Source organism: Homo sapiens, chromosome 11, assembly GCF_000001405.40.
Source record: "Homo sapiens chromosome 11, GRCh38.p14 Primary Assembly".
In the NCBI taxonomy this organism is placed as follows: domain Eukaryota; kingdom Metazoa; phylum Chordata; class Mammalia; order Primates; family Hominidae; genus Homo; species Homo sapiens.
Genome location: NC_000011.10, coordinates 126,455,244 through 126,471,897, shown reverse-complemented (window position 1 = coordinate 126,471,897; position 16,654 = coordinate 126,455,244). Strand labels below are relative to the sequence as shown.

Below are 16,654 nucleotides of genomic sequence, written 5' to 3'. Positions count from 1 at the left end.
AAGGGCTGGAAGCACCCTGAACTGGCCCCCGTATTAATTGTGTCTTTAAAATGTTGTGTATTTTATGATGCTTTGACATCTGGGGCCTTGCAGACCCAGGGAAGGACCAGGGTAAGCTAATTCCTGGAGATAGCAAGCAGGCTTTATATCAAAGCAGACCAACCAATCCAGAGCCCAGGCCCCCACAGCCTTTTTTCATCAGGCTCCATAGTCCAGGACATTATACCCCTACCCTAAATCTCCCCAGGGCCACACATCAGACCACCCCTACAGCTCAGGGCCCAGGGAAATTATTCAAGCTATCCAATCCTAAACCTGCTGAGCCACCAACCCTACCTCACCATTCCTTCCTATGAAAGCAAGCCACAACAGAGGCTGTGCCCACACTCTCCCCACACCTCCCACCCCAGCCCCAACTGACCCTGGGGCCTCCCCTTCCTCTGGGAACTATGAGTAGCAAACTGTCTTTTCTTTTTTTCTTTCTTTTTTTATTTTTTATTTATTTTATTTATTTATTTATTTATTTTGAGACAGAGTTTCACTCTTGTTGCCCAGACTGGAGTGCAATGGCGTGATCTCAGCTCACCGCAACCTCCACCTCCTGGGCTCAAGTGATTCTCCTGCCTCAGCCTCCAGAATAGCTGGGATTGCAGGCGTGTGCCATCATGCCCAGCTAATTTTTTTTTCTTTTTTTGTATTTTTAAAAGAGACGGGGTTACTCCATGTTGGTCAGGCTGGTCTCAAACTCCCGACCTCAGGTGATCCACCTGCCTCAGCCTCCCAAAGTGCTGGGATTACAGGACTGAGCCACTGCGCCCGGCCGCAAACTGTCTTTTCAACGGCAGTTGTCTCCTGATCTGTTGGCCTCCCTCTACCTGAATAAAAACAAAATTCTGGGTACATTTTTAAACAGCCCCCACCAAACTCCACTCAACAAAACTGTGCATAGAGTCCCAGATGGGGTTAATGTACCACAGAGCCTCTAAGATGAATGAGGCCTTACAGTATACCTGGGCCAACCTCTTTTGTCTGCAGCTAGAAAATTGAGGCCTGGTGGGGAAGTGACTGTCCTTCTCAGTGGTGGAGTGGGCAGTGCCAGGCCTGGAACCACAATTCCTGACACCCTGGCCTCTGCCCTTGCCCATGCTCCTCCTAGGGCAAGCCGGTCCCCCAAGCTCCGCAGCTGGGGGCCCAGCCTCCAGAACGCCCGCTCGCCTCAGGTCTGAGGGTTTTCCTTGTCCTCAGAGACTGGGGAAATACACGGCCTGGTTCCCCCTACCCACCAGTCCTCTAAGCAATCCTGGAAAGATAAGCAGGGCCTTGGTCATCCGAGGATGTGAGGCAGGCCCGTCCCCACTCTGAGGGTGTGTCTTTCCTGTCCCAAACTGACCACCTGCCAAGAGGTCACTCCAGGGCTGCCGATCAAAGAACCCAGCACCTGGTGCCAGAACCCAGGGCAAACTCCTTCCCTCAGACACAAGTCCAGGGGGAGGGAGGGATGGCTGCCTCTTGGAAGACAAGCCTCTCCCTTATGTCCTGGGCTGAAGCCACCCTGTCCTGTTATGTAATACAAGGATATAACACAGAGAGAGAGTTGTCCAGAGGAGAATGAAAAGGAAGGATAGGGGCTTTCCTTCCAGTCTGAGCACCTGTCCTGTCCCTCCCTGAACTTGGGCCAGCCTGGACCCTAGCAGAGTCAATGTCCTGCAGAGGACACATGCCATCAGGTGGAGAGAGAGGTCAGGGTCACTCTGCTGGACCTGTCCCAGGATCACCTTGAGCTCAACATGTCATCCTTGTCTACATTGTGAAGGCCCCTCGGAGAGCCTGGTACCATACTACTGCACAGCAGGGCGGGGGACCCGATCCATGCTCCTGGGCCTGTGACGGGAACGGCAGCGCCAGGCAGTCGCAGGCCTGGGTTCCAGCTTCCACTGCATAACCTCAGGCAACTCACTCCCTGGGCATCTGTTTCCTCGTCTGCAAAATGAAGGTGTTGGATCAGACGCTCCGGAAGAGAAACAGATTCCTCAGGGGACAGTCACCTCAGATGGTCTCCTGCCCCTCTGTGGCTTGTCCAGGGAGCAGCAGAGGCCTGAGACCCTCAATGTGTCCCTGGACATGAGCATGGGAAGAGGCCCTGTGTCCCAAGGCAAGGCACTTCATTTCTCTGGGCCTCTCCTCCAAACCATGGTCATCCACCATCCTAACTGTCCACCCCACGGCCAGTGGTTCTCATGGAGACCAAAGGGGTGACCAGCAGAGCCCGCACACGTCAGTGGAGCTTCCCCAGGCACGGGGCTGTGTGCCGGGCAGGGAGAAGCTACAAGCCTGTGATGTGGAGTATACCCAGTAGGTTACACAATCCAGGGCTCCTATGGAGCAGGCTCTGGGGGCTGTCCGAGCCAACCCCTCTGCTTCCCCTCCCAGGGACCCAGCCCACCCCCTCCTCCCCCAGGGCTGCAAGGAGCCCTGCCATAGGCCAACAGCACTCCTGACTTCCCCAGAGAGGCTACATATGAGGAGGGGCCAGAGCATCAGCCGCAGAGAGGAAGAGAAGCTGGGAGCACACACAAAATCAGGCAGCCTCCAAGGACCCCAGAAAAGACCCCTCAGGGCAGCCCTGGCTGCTGTCGGGTCTGACGCCCTCAGTGGCTGTCACATGGTGGATGATTATCCCCGTGGGCTCAGGAGCTGGCAGCCTGAATTTGGATCCGGGCTCTGCCACCTTCCAGCTGCGTGACCTCACCTTGCCGTGCCTCCCTGTCCTTGCCATACAATGGGAACGACAGCAGCACCCACTTTAAGGGGTGCTTGTGAGGAGTTGAATGAGAAACACGCCTGGCACATAGCGAGCTTGCAACAAGCACTGCTGTTGGGATTGTCACCCCCTCACTGGATCCACACGGCTGCAAGGTCCACCCCACTATGGACCTCGCGTTTCCCATATGCAGACATCGGTGTCATAGTTAGGCTGGCCACATGGTTCTGAAGGCCTAGCTCAAACCTGGGATCCGTAACATAACATGGTGATGTCACCCTCTGCCTCAGTTTCCCCAGCTGCAAAATGCAGTGATAATGATCACGGATGTCTGTTAGGGTTGCAGAGTGACTTACAAGAAATTATGCATCAGAAGCACCCTGTCAAGGGCAGGAGTAAGGACTGGATAAATGTGAGCTACTATTATTGGCTCCTGTCCCACAGGGGGAACCCCAGTTCCCTGCCCCAGGGGTCATACAGCTATTTCATAAAACACCAGGCCTGTTCTCAAAGTTTCTGGGTTGCTCACCGACCATTCTCTCTGTGACTCCACCATGGGACCAGTAGGGGAGGGATGAGCCTCAGCCCTGGAGGGCACCAGGCCCCTTCCCCAGGAGGAAGGGCAGGAGAGGAAGCACCCAGTCCCTCCCCCAGCACAGGCTGGCCATGCTTCTCCTTAACAGGCCACTGTCACAGCCTCCAGGGTGCAGGGCGAGCCACACTGCCGGATGGGGCCTTGGGCAGTGCCCACTGCAGGCTCCCAGCGGGTGTCGGCTGCAGAGGCACAGAGCAGGAAAAGGCCCCTCCAAGCTTCTTCCTGGAGACTCAACCCTGGGCTGTCTGGGGACAGTGGGTTCCTTCCCTGTTCCTCATACTTCTGAGGGCCTGGCGCCAGAGTGGAGACCACATTCTTTCTTCTGGAAAGCCCCCAAGTCCACACAGCAGGGGAGGAAGGATGGGTTACGGAAGAGGAGGGGCGAGAGGACAGGCTGAGCCCAGAAAGAACCCTTCCTAAGTGCAGCTTCCTGCCAGGCAGGAGGGTTGCAAGGTCTTAGCACGCACAGTCGTGTCTGTGTCTGCTTGGAGCCCCTTGCCCTCTACCCCTACCACCAGGACCACTGGCCTCGCCTTTTACCACCTTTGCTAAGAGGAGCTCTGGAGACCCCACTCAGGAAAGGGATAAGTGCCCACATGCATAGGGCCCTCACCCTCCACTGGGCACCCCCTCCCTGGTCACTCACCCATCACCCTGCACCTATCTGCCCAGCTTAGGGGCCTAGAGTCTCCACTGGGTGTGGCCGAGGCTCATCCTGGCCTTCTCTGTGAAGGGCACCCCTCTGGCCTCTGGCCTCAAGGCTGGATGCAGGGACTGGGGCAAAAAGCACTGCGCATCCTCCACCTGGCCCACACACCCTTATTCAAGCCAGGTGGCAACCAGCCCATGGGGAGCCCCAAGCAGCTATCAAAAGGGGAAGCAGAGCCATGATTTTTTAAAAAAAAAAAAAAAGGGACCCAGCAGGTGGGGAAGGTGAGTAGCGGGGAGAAGCGAGGCGGCCTTGCTGCCAGGCAATCAGGCTACTCTCGGCCTTTCCAGACGGTTTGCCTGTCATCGGGCACCCCATATTTAGCACCAGTGCTTGGGCCCCCACCCCTTGTCTGCCCTCCAGCCCACCCATTTCCGAGAGCTCAGCCTGGCTCTCCACTGCCCAGAGGAGGCCCTGGGGGCTTTGGAAAGAGCAGAGTGGCCAGCCACTGCCACCCAAGCAGGAAAACCATGGGGTGGGGTACACTGTGTACAACCATACCTGGGAAGACCGGCCTCCCAGGCCGGTGCTGGGGAACTAGAGAAGTGAGTGCCAAATCCCTGCCCTTAGGGAGGGGCAGTGGGGGTGGGTGCACAGCCCTGAGGCGGCACCTGAGCAGGCAGCGTCCAGAGAGAACCTGGGGCCCCGCAGAGTCACGGCAGTCAGTGGACAGAGGCCCATGAACACCCAAAGACAAAAACAGGTACGCGCACATACCCACGGGGGTGTATGCCCTGGCACGCTCGTTCCCGGACACATGCTGCACACACGCCATCTATATGCCTGCCCCTGGCCCATATCTGCACACACAGGAGCTGGGTCCTCGGGGACTCTTGGGAGCCACCATGGCAGTCACATGGGCAACCTGGGCGAGCCGGGGGCTGGCAGCACGTTAGTGCTCACCACACTGGAGGGAGGCCTTGGAGGCGGTGGCTCCCACAGTGAGTGGCCCACCATGAATAACTCACTTCCTTCTGGAGCTCACCTGCAAGGCATGAAGCTTTCTGAAGCAGGAGGTGGGAGGTTCAATGCCCATGGTGTGTCCCCAGAGCCAAGCTCAGTGAAGGGAAGCAGGGAAGGGAGGGGCGGAGTGGAGCTGCGACTAGAACCTGCAGATGATAGAATGTTCTCCTGGACAGTACCTTCAAGGCTGCAAAGTCCAGAGGCTCCATTTGCATATGAGAAAAGTGACAATTAGGGGAGATTCATTTCTGAAAAGGAGTGAAGCAAAAGAAACAAGAGAGGCGAGATCAGAAAGGAATGGGGGAAGAGAAACCCGGGGGTGCAGATCCCCCGTGCCCCTCCACATCCCGCCCTGTCCTGCAGGTGCAGGGCTCCCTCCAGCCTTCCCCCTGGGCCCCCCAGCTCTGTCCCACCTTCCTCCCCTCAGTCGTCCTGCAGCAGAGCTGGCAGACCCAGCCTTCCTCCCTGGGATACCCGCTGCACGGGGCCTGGGGTCCCCCGCGAGCTAGGGGCCCAGGAGGTGCTGGGACCTTCCACGGGGACAGAGAGGGTGTTGGTGCTGGGGCACGTGCCTTCCCCTCACCCTCCTTTTGTTTAATGAACACATCTCCCTTTTTCTCTAATTAGGTGGAACAAACAACTTGAACCAGAATTTTTATTTCCCAGAAAAGCACACGCCTGGACCCAGTAAATATGTCATTAATCATCATTCCGAGGCGGAGGAGCACGCTGGGTGCAGGGAGGAGGGGGAGCAGTCAGAGGGCCTAATTAGAGCTGGGTCCCCTCCCTCCCCTGCCACTGGCACCCACCGCCCAGAGCCCATCCGTTGGAAGGGCTCCTGGCAGAGTCAAGCTTATGTAAATGTCCCTTGTTAGCACAACGGAAATGTAAAGAAGAGAAGAAGAATACCAACCTGCTCCTCACCACCTCCCCGCCCCTGCGCGCCCTACCCGAAGTCTTAGTTTCATCCAGGAAATTGTTCTTATTATCACTTGGCTATTTATAGACTCGATGAGGTCTGCTGAAGAGCCCAAGGCAGGGTGGTAAAGCGGTGCCAGCTGCTGCTCCCTCCCTGCCCGGGCTTTGGCTTGGGGTTCAACTTCACTCCTCTGCAGTGGTCCTGCCCCCGGCTTGCTGCATCTGGCCACGTCACTCTCCTCCAGCCCCTCTGCCCAGGGCCGTGGCTGGCACCCTGAGTCCCAGGCCTGCAGCTGCACCGCGTGGCTCTCTAGAATGTCACAGTCCGGCTTTGCCTCCAGCAAGATGTGCTGTTCTATATAGAGGCTCTGGCCCTGTTCTCCTGACGCCACGAGGTTTGCCCCAAGTTGAGAAAAACCTCACTGAATTAAGGACCCAGAATGTGGGGTTCTAGGAGCTTACAGGTTTCTCCCTGTGGCCCTAACTGTTCCCATCTGTCCTGCCAAGAGCACGGTACCCACCGTCCAGCACCCCCGGGGCTGCAGCAGAGGCTGTGGCTCAGGGTTCACCCATTCTTAAGTGCAAATCCTAGCTCCACCCAGCAAGTTCCCGGCTCACTTGGAACACAGGTTTCTCTTTGGCTAATCAAAGATAATGCTGCTGTCTTCCGGGGCCCTCATAAGAATTAGAGACATTGCCATTGTCACTTTATGGGAGGTTTTGAGGGAGGAGTGGTCTGTTCATCTACTCCCTGGCTCCAGTCGGGGGAAACAGGACTGCACCCATAGTGAGGTTCCTTCCTAGTACCTCCTAGTAGCAGAAGCCTTTGCATACTGACCAGACCCCAATCCCAACCTGGAAGTGCACCCCCACACACACTCAGCACACCCTCCCCGGGGTGCACCTGACTTAGTGCGCCCCAAAGTGATGGGGAAGTAGCTGCAAAGAGGAACAGGAGAGGGAAGGAGGTAGCAGCCACAATGGGGAACTAGCTTCGGAATGACATTGTGGCCCAGTAGAGAAAAGCAATGACCTGGGAAGGTGGGAGACCAGCAGTTAAGATGGGTTTGCTTCCTAGGGCTGCCATTACAAAGCACCACAATTCGGTGCATGACACAACAGAAATCAATTATCTCACAGCTGTAGAAGCCAACAAGTCTGGAATCAAGGTGTCAGCAGGGCTGTGCCCCTCCAAAGGCTCCAGGGGAAAATCCTTCCTTGCCTCTTCCAGCTCCTGGCAGCTCCTGGCATTCCTTGGCTTGTGGCAGCATCCCTCCAATCTCTGCCTCCACCTTCACCTGGCCTTCTCTGTTTCTCTCTGTCTTCTCCTCATCCTCCTCTTCTCCTCCTCCTCCTCTTCTCTTTCACTTTCTCTTTATCCTTCTCCTTCTTCTTTTTCTTTTTCTTTTTCTTCTTCTTCTGAGGCAGGGTCTCACTCTGTGGCCCTGGCTGGAGTACAGTGGCACAACCTCAGCTCACTGCAGCCTCAACCTTCCGGGATCAAGTGATCCTCTCACCTTAGCCTCCCAAGTAGCTGGGACTACAGGCACAAGCCACCATGCCTGGCTAATTTTTTTTTAATTTTTTTCTTTTTTTTTTTTTTTTTGGTAGTGACAGGATCTTCCTATGTTGCCCAGGCTGGTCACCAAGTCCTAGGCTCAAGCAATCCTCCCACCTCAGCCTCCCAAAGTGCTGGGATTACAGACATGAGCCTCCACACCCAGCAGACTCTCTTCTCTTCTTCCAAGGACACCAGTCATTGGGTTTAAGGCTCACTCTGAATCCAGTATGACCTCATCTCAAGAGCCTTAACTAATTACTAATTGCTTAACTAAACTGCAAAGACCCTATTCCCAAATAAGGTCATATTCTGAGGTTCCTGGTAGACAAGAATTTGGAGAGGACACCATTCAACCTGCTGTAGGAGACTAGTACTTATTTCAGGACCAACTTGAAATGTGAGTTTGGTCAAGCTCCATAGCCTCTGTCTAGCCCACCTATTTCCTCCCCTATCCAATGGGAGATAATGGTATCTGTCCCACCTATGGTTTGATTGAGACTCTAATGAGATCAGGGAGTGAAACGCTTTGGAAAGTTGAAAGGATTTATATAGGCAAATAATCGAAAGGTTGATGTGCACTGATTCTGCCCATATCCCCACCCACTCTGACTCCCATTCCCCAAACTGTGCCTCCTCTGCAGACTGTCCCCGCTCAGGGGCCACAGTCCCTGCTGGTTGCAAACCATCTCGTTGCTTCCTACAGAGCCTGAGACTGTCACTCAAGCACCAGAGGCAAAAAGATGTGAGTTCATTTCAACATGGGACCTCCCTGAAGCCTGGTTTCCATGAAACCCATCCTGCTTTCTTTTGTGCTTTTAGCATGTGAATCCAGGCTAATTTTCACATGGTGGAAAACTGTCTAGTTCCTTTTTCCTTCCACAGCCCAGCACTTAGCCAGGCCAGGGAGCCAGGGGGTAACCCCCGAGCTCTGCGTAGACATGGGCAGCCCAGGTCTCCTAAGCTGAACCCCTCCATCCACAGCTCCCCCTTCTGTCTAAGCTGGTGCTCGTTTACCCCCAACCCAGGCTGGCCACCCCAGCCAAGCGACATGGAGCTTTCTCTCCCCTTTCCCTTTCTCCCAAGACCCTGCTTCGGGACGGCAAGCGGGAGAGCATCGTCAGCACCCTCTTCATCTCCCCTGGTGACGTGGAGAATGGCCAGAGCATCGTGTGTCGTGCCACCAACAAAGCCATCCCCGGAGGAAAGGAGACGTCGGTCACCATTGACATCCAGCGTGAGTACCCACCCCCTCCCCCAACCCAGCCCTGCCAGGCCCAGGGTGAAACACCCAGCAACCCTGACCATAGCCTGGCCCATCTGATAGCAGGAAATGGGTCAGGCAGCTCTGTGGATTGGCCAGCTTGTAGATACGGACAGGAAGGACCATCTTGTCTTCCTTACTGTCATGAGATGCAACCTCACAGATGAGGGTCTTTCGCAAAGGACATCTTCAGGCCACATTTCAACACCTGTACAAGGTGGGACTTTCACACCAATAAATACGGTCAGCTGCTGCCTCTGCTGGCCTAGCCGGTGGCCCCTCTGTTGGAGGGGAAGTCTGAGTGGAGATGCTGGTATTTGAAGGGTCCCCAGGCTTCAGAATTGGCAAGCAGCGCTGTGCTCTGGAGAGGGTGCACCAGCCACTCTCATGGAAGGGTTGATCAAGGGGACAAGAAGAAGGAAATCTACATGTATTATCTCATTTAATCTTTTTTTTATTCTTTCGAGACAGAGTCTCACTCTGTTGCCCAGGCTGGAGTGTAATGACGCAATCTCGGCTCACTGCAACCTCTGCTGCCCAGGTTCAAGCGATTCTCCTGTCTTAGCCTGCCTGAGTAGCTGGGATGACAGGCATCCATCACTACACCCAGCTAATTTCTGTATCTTTAGTAGATATGGGGTTTCACCATATTGGCCAAGCTGGTCTCAAACTCCTGACCTCAAGTGTTCCGCCCGCCTTGGCCTCCTAAAGTGCTGGGATTACAGATGTGAGCCACTTCGCCTGGCCTTATTTAATCTTTACAACAACTGTTTGGAGAAGGTGCAACTGTGGTCCCTACCGTGGGAAACTGAGGCACCGAAAGGGTGATTAACTTGCCCAAGACCACTTAGGTAGCATAGATTTCCAGAGTCCACCCTGGTAACATCCTCTCCACACTCCTGCCCAGCCAGCCCTCGGTGGCCCGTGTTAGGATTCATGTTGACAGTTATGATGCTTCAGGGCTCCACCAGCATCGCATCCCACAACCACCTAACAGAGACCCCTGAAAGTCTCCTAAAAGTCTCCCTAAGGTGCCTGTCAGCCCCAGAACCAAGAAGAGCTCAGCAAGGTGTTCCAGGGGCCTTCCTCTCAAGACTGGATTAGTTCAGTTTAAAGAGTCAGGACTCAAAAGTGGACTTCTCTCCTCTGAGATCCCCTCCCTGCCGCCAAACATAACGCTACTGCAAGCAGGTGGCTGCTTCTGTCCTGGGCTCTGAATTTCAAGGCTGGAGCTGCAGGCTGGCATTCGTGTCCTCCTTAGCCTTTTACTCATTTTAAAGCAAGTGCATTTAAAAACACTTCCTAACAGCCCTGATTTCTCTAAGCCTTGTGGATTCTGGGCTCCGAGTGTCTCTCCAGGGACCTGGAGTCCAGAGATGGGGTCCAGGTCTTAAGGTTCTGAGAGCTCATCTTGGCAGCTGAGAGCAGAAGTTCCCAGCCAGTGTCTAGAATCCTGACAGACACCATTTAGATTCCAGAGGGCAGAAGAAATGGTTGAAAACCTCAGGTAGGCTCAAGATACCCACACACAAAGGCTGAGTTCTTGGGGCGGGGGGGACTTTATCTTCACTGTCTTGCCACCAGCTATTAACAAACATCTCTGTCCCCCCTACAACCCCCGACATACCCCTGTACCAAGGAGCCTTCTGGCATCCTCATTCACAAGCAGCCAGGGCCGCGGAGCTCTGGCCAAGCCTAGAGCTAGGGTGACTGAAGGAGGTCCCGGGGCACACAGTGCAAGCAGGGCTGGCCCTGAAAGTGAGGCCAGGCCTCCTTAATCTCCGACCCTCGGCTCTTCCCCCTCACTGGCCCTGGCCCTGGCCTGGGTCCTGGGTCTGAGCACCGCCTCCTCCTGTGTGGTGAGCAGCCACATGGAGCAGTAAGCCCCACTGGAAAAGGTGAGATGCCGCAAAGCCATGCAGTCCAGCATCCACGACGGCTCCACAACCCATGGGTGGGCTGGGCCTACGCCTGTCACATCACCCTAGGGGACTCTGGTTCCTTGTCTGATTTGGCCAAATGACATCCAAGGCCCCTTCTTGCCCGAGGACTGGCCACGGATCAGAGCTCTCTGTCCAGATGCAATCCAAATCAGGAAGGGGAGAGGGCGGGAGACACAGAGCATCCAAGCTTCCTACTTCCAGGCTGCCATTCGATTCACTGCCACCACCACCACCCTCGCTTCTTCCCCAGCCTGTCCCCAACCTGATCAGGAGGCCTGTACAAAATGTTACAGACTCCTGGACAAAAGTGACAATCTAGCTGGCCCCCTGCGACAGCAGCGTAGGTCCTGGCAGGGAGAGGTGGGAAGAAGCAGTTTCCTGCTCCAGGCATTACCCCAGGAGAACCTCTCCAGGCAACGGGAAACTCGCCCTCCTAACCACAGCCCACCCGGCCTTCTGCACTCATGCCCACAGAAGATCGTTCAACAGGGTGCAGGTGACAGTCTGCATCCAGAGGACACTGGGTCTTGCCAGGCCTCTGGGCCCTTTCTGGCTTCCTTTCCAAGGACATCTCAGCCACCTTAGGAGGCGTCAGAATGAGGTCAGAGTGACACTTGGGGCCCAGCAGCCCAGTTTCCCAGACCAGCCTCGTCCAAGGCAGTACTGGGTAGTGGTGAAGGCCACAGCATTCTTCCTGCTTTGAACTCTCTGCCACTTACTGAGTGGCACTGACCCGGTTAGTTAACCTCCTTGTGCCCCGATTTCCTCCTCTGTACATGGAAGTAATCATGCTTACCTCCTAAGGTTGCAGTGAGGATTAAATGAAATCCTTCCTGTCAAGCCCCCTAGCGCAGTGTCTGACACGTTGTGAGTGCCCCACACCTACCAGCTGCTGTCAGGACGCAGAGCCATAGGTGAGTGGTGCCCCTCATCAGGTGTCCCCACAGCCCTAACAGGCAAGGGATCTTCATCCATTTGTCCCCGCGCTCACCGCCCCTAGCCTGAAGGTGCTTGTATGTGCTTGCCAAGCAAAGCACACGTTCTCCACCCGCTCCCTCCCCCCTTCCCCCTCCTCCTGCTCCCGCTCCTCCTCCATTTATTCATTTGTTCATTCAGTCAGCATCCAACTGTTTACTAAGGACACCATGGGCTGCATCAGAGCTGCCTTTGTGAACCTGCTCATTTTCTCAGTCAACCAAGAAGCATCCAAACTCAGCAAAAGCACATTTGTTGTTTGTTTCTCTTGGTCTTCATATGTTACCCAACGGAAGACAAAGCCCTCAGATTGAGTAATGGGAGAGAAAGCTTAACACCCCCAAAGCCTCACCACATCTGGACTCTGTGTCCAGCTGCCAAGTTTCAAATGAATGTGCTACAAAATCACTGAGTCATGAAGATTCTCTCTTTTCCCACCCTCTCCTCCATGTAATACTTCCCCTGAAAACACACACACATGGACACACGCACACACGGGCGGATGGAAACACTAACAGACTCTCAGCTGTAACATCTGTTCAATGTGATCTCAGTTCCACCAGCTACATCAAAGCTGCCCTCCTGCAAGTTATGCTGCCGACATCACAAGTGAGATTAAAATCATGTTTAATAGTTGGATATGACATAAACTATTTATACCTCTGGAGCTTGGCAGACTCCTGAAAATGTATATTCTGTACACCAGCAGAAGTGGAGAAAGAAGCTTGGGCACCTCTGGTCTTGGGGTGGAGGTGCAGATATGGCCAGTGAGTGTGGAACCCTTGTGAATCGCTTCGGGGCAGGTGATCACCAAAGACGATGCTAAGAGGAAGGGAAAGTGCAGGAGAGCAGCCTTACGAGTGAGCTGATCATGGCAGGGGCGTGATGAGGCATCGGGCAGCAGGAAGGTCCTACAACAGGTGTGTGCCCCACCTCCCTGCCTCTCAGACCTCATCACTTTAGAAAAGACCCCCAGGTGAGGGAAGGGCCTCCTGGAACAGCCCCCCAAGTTCTGTGGCGGGTCCCTTGAGCCTATGGGACTGGCACTCACCTCCTCAAACCAGACTTGGGGTGGGTACTCACGTCCCAGCGTTGGCCTTTATAATGCGAGGGCACGGGCCAGCAATGCGTTTGGATCCGGTGGCGATTCCCAAGCTCCTCTGCCCCACCTCCACTTCTCCAACCCACGGCGAGATGCAGGCTCCTCCCTGAGTGTCCATGTTCTCTAGGTAGGGTCCCACGGACGCCCAGATCAGCCAGCCAGCCCTGCATGGAAAGAGGGCTGGAACTCCTGATTCAGCCTTGCCCTGGAAGCTAGGGTGCAGCTTCGAGGAGAGGTCACGGGGTTCTGGGGGTGGGAGGAGCGTTCTCGTGGCTATTCCTTGTAACCCCATCTTTGTGACCACTTGAATTATGCCTTACAACTGGGATTGAGATCACAAGTGAGGGCACTTCCCTTGTAATTCCCCACGAAAGGCAGGCAGGCTGACCGCACCAGGAGCAGAGGTTTCCTGGATTTGTGGTCCCCCGTCTGGAACTAGGGAAAATGTGGGAGAACAGGCTCCCCAGCACAGTCAGCCACCTGCTACTCAGAAAACAGAGTTCTCTCCCCAGTGCCTGCAGACACCAGCACAGCCCTGGGGCCATCTCTCAGGCCAGCTCCCGTGCCTGGCACTAGGCAGGGAGGCAGGGTCCTCTTGGGCACCAGCAGGAAGAGGGCAGCTGAGCAGTTATGTGATCCGAACTCCAGAGTAAGGCCGGCTCGGTCTGCAGCTTAGAGGCTGAGTGCATGACTGTATGACTCTCTGAGGGTCTCAGGACCCCACCGTAGTCCCAACCAGAGCCCAGACCAACTGGGCCAGCTGGGGCCTTGCTCCCTTTGTGGTGCCCCCATGGGGACCGAAAGAGACCAGCATTTTTCCTCATTGCCTCTGAGAAACTGGTTTCTTTACTTCTTTTTCTGGAAATGGGCTGGACCCCTAGAAGTCCTCGTGACTTTCCAGCAATTTGCTCTGCTTGTTGGTGGGGACTGACCCAGAAGATGCAGCCCAGGGCCCAGCCTGTCCATGGGGATGAGGTCCTGGGCTGCCCACTCAACTCAGCCAGAGCTCTGGGCCATGACAGGGAAAAAGGATGGGAACTGGCTCGTTATCCCCCATCCCTCGGCGTGTGGATGCCCCGGGGGTGCCGAGGCCTGGGGGCCACCAGGAGCCCAGCAGCAGGGGTGACACCAGCCTCTGGAGAGGATCCAGAGCCAGCTGCCCCTGAGCTGGGCAGGGCCAGGCTGATGGAAGCCCTTCCCACCTCTCTGTCTCTCTGCTGCAGCCCCCTCGAGCTGTTTCCATCTTTCCATCTTGCAGCGTCTGCTCCTCCTTCATATCTCTTTTCCTCGTTGTTTGACTTGGTCTTTCTCTCTAACACCCTGTCATTGTCGGGCCCTATGTGCCGGGTCTCCGTGGCCTTTTCTGCTTTTGGTCTGAAATTCTTGTCTGATTCACAGTCTCTGCAAACAGGTCAGTCTCTCCATCTCTCCATCACTCTGCCCTCTGCTTCTCTAGATTTCTCTTTTTCTCGCCCTTTTTCTGCACTTCTCAATTTCTATGTGTGTGTCTTTCTGTCTCTCTGCCCATGTCTCTCCCTGTCCCTGTCACTTCCTCATCTTTGTCTCTCTCTCTCTCGCTCTACACACACATACACACACACATACACACACGCATACATACATACATATAAGCATACACACATATACACATGTATACACACACATACACATACACACACGCATAGACACACATACACACGTGCATACACACATACACACACACGCATACACACATACACGCATACACACAGAGACATACATACACACACACATATACACATACACATGCATACACACAGAGACATACACACGCATACACACATACACATATGCATACACACACATGCATACACACATACACACACATACATATACACATGCATACACACACATACACATACACACACACACACACACACACACATAATCTCTCTTCCTCTATGGTCTCCATGTCTCTCCTCTATGTACATGTCTCGCTGTCGGCCTCCGGTCCCTTCTGTGTGTCTCTGTGTGTCTCTGGTTCTTGTCTCCCTGCCTCTTTCTCTCCCTGACTTTCTGTCTCCTCCCCTTCCCACCATTTAGCACTTCAGAGCCTGGCTTCTTATCACGTCAAATGAGGAAGCGAGCCCCGGCCTGGGAAGCTGAGGCCGTGCGCCACCAGCCAGGACTGAGTGGAGATGATTAGGCTGATGAAAGGGTGTAAATGCCGCTTTCAAGTTAACAAATGCCCCAGAACCTTTACGGAAAAGAGATAATAAACAGACATTTCAAAGACAGTCTGCACTGAAGCGAGACTGAGTGTCCACGCGCCCCTCTCTGCCCTGCACCCCTCTTCCCACCTCTCCTTCCTAGATTATTTTGTTCCGCCCAAAAGTTGGAGGATGGGAAACCCCTGGGCCCAAGCCTGAGGCTTCCTGGCTCGGGGTTCGTGTCCACACCAGGCCCCAAGTCCACGGGGAGGCCCTGTTCCCACCTCCAGGACTGTCTGAAGCAGGCACCTCCCATGGAGCCCCCAGCTTCCTGAAGACCACCAGGGCGGGGGCTGCTCTGAGGGTCCCTGGGTGGTGGAGTCTCTGGCTGTATCCTCCATGTCGCCCAGGATCTCCCTGCCCCCATTCTTTCTCCGGTCTACAAGTGACTCTCCTCTCCCTGCAGACCCTCCACTGGTCAACCTCTCGGTGGAGCCACAGCCAGTGCTGGAGGACAACGTCGTCACTTTCCACTGCTCTGCAAAGGCCAACCCAGCTGTCACCCAGTACAGGTGAGAGTCACTGCTGAGGGGGCCCGGCCTGGCCACTGGCCCCCACCCCCGTGCCTCTCACGTGGGATGTCACTTAGGGTCCTCAGCATGGCTGCAGTGTGTGCCTAGTCCACACCGCGTGTCCAGTAGCCTTCTTCCCTTCCTCTTAAACCCGCCTGCCTGCTAGCCGTGTGGACCCTTCCTCTCCTCTGTGCGTGCACGCGCCCTCTTCCACTGGAGGAAGCAGGACTCACGGCTTCTGCTTGAATAGCCTGATTATTCCACACTCCAAACATGGGGAAAAGGCTCAGGAAAAAAAAAAAAAAAAAACGAAAACAAAAAAAAACCAGAACAACCAGGAGAAGCAGCAAGATCAGAACCTCCATTCTAGTCTTGTGCCCATCAAACTGGTTCACCTGGGTAGATCAGGATGTCTGGGCCCCGGCCCAGTCCAGTGAGCATCCGGGATCACACTTACTCATGGCCCCTGTGTGTCTCTTGCTCACAACACGGATAAAAGCACCACTGTTTGGTTTGTTGGTTTGTTTGTTTGTTTGTTTCTTTGTTTGTTTTGAGACAGAGTCTCGCTCTGTCACCCAGGCTGGAGTGCAGTGGCGTGATCTCAGCTCACTGGCAAGCTCTGCCTCCTGGGTTCACGCCATTCTCCCGCCTCAGCCTCCCAAGTAGCTGGGACTACAGGCGCCCGCCACCACGCCAGCTAATTTTTTTTTTTTTTTGTATTTTTAGTAGAGACAGCGTTTCACCGTGTTAGCCAGGATGGTCTCGATCTCCTGACCTCGTGATCCACCTGCCTCAGCCTCCCAAAGTGCTGGGATTACAGGCATGAGCCACCGCACCCGGCCAAAGCATCACTGTTTTTGTTTTACTTGTTTCTGCCTTGTGACAGAGCTTCTTGAAGGCAGGAACTGCAATTTAGTCACTGATGGCTCTCAGCATGCAGCACAGCACATGGCATAAACCACATGCTCCTTAGATGTGTCTGACTGATCCAATAAACACACGCTTCCTCTGGGCGCCTTTCTGCCTGGGCACTGTCACTGCACAAGACTCTAGGAGACTAAGTGACCTTGGAGGCACTCAAGGGCAGACTCACCTCCTTTTGGGT

At 54.8% G+C, this 16,654-nt stretch overlaps 1 protein-coding gene across 18 annotated transcripts in view, besides 3 other annotated features; it reads left to right on the top strand.

The window, feature by feature from the left end:
- The window catches only part of KIRREL3 (kirre like nephrin family adhesion molecule 3), a 580,037-nt gene that overhangs the window by 531,497 nt on the left and 31,886 nt on the right, over nucleotides 1–16,654 (top strand). For 14 of the 18 annotated variants that reach the window (NM_001441257.1, NM_001441258.1, NM_001441262.1 and 11 more), the window contains 2 exons: nucleotides 8,591–8,741; nucleotides 15,444–15,549. In NM_001441257.1, the coding sequence (NP_001428186.1) occupies nucleotides 8,591–8,741; nucleotides 15,444–15,549 (257 nt within the window). Of the gene's footprint in view, nucleotides 1–770; nucleotides 4,769–8,210; nucleotides 8,250–8,590; nucleotides 8,742–15,443; nucleotides 15,550–16,654 lie in introns of those variants that run through there. The other 4 variants (NM_001441256.1, NM_001441254.1, NM_001441263.1 and 1 more) reach the window with 2 other exon arrangements.
- Nucleotides 4,507–5,054: an enhancer, noted in NCBI's record as "H3K4me1 hESC enhancer chr11:126336739-126337286 (GRCh37/hg19 assembly coordinates)". NCBI's record gives its function as "activates a minimal SCP1, AML or CMV promoter by ChIP-STARR-seq in naive H9 embryonic stem cells {active_cell/tissue: H9 hESC(naive)}" and the evidence as "EXISTENCE:reporter gene assay evidence [ECO:0000049][PMID:30033119]".
- Nucleotides 5,055–5,604: an enhancer, noted in NCBI's record as "H3K4me1 hESC enhancer chr11:126336189-126336738 (GRCh37/hg19 assembly coordinates)". NCBI's record gives its function as "activates a minimal SCP1, AML or CMV promoter by ChIP-STARR-seq in naive H9 embryonic stem cells {active_cell/tissue: H9 hESC(naive)}" and the evidence as "EXISTENCE:reporter gene assay evidence [ECO:0000049][PMID:30033119]".
- Nucleotides 6,152–6,211: an enhancer, noted in NCBI's record as "active region_5710". NCBI's record gives its function as "activates an Ori minimal core promoter by ATAC-STARR-seq in GM12878 lymphoblastoid cells {active_cell/tissue: GM12878}" and the evidence as "EXISTENCE:reporter gene assay evidence [ECO:0000049][PMID:35858748]".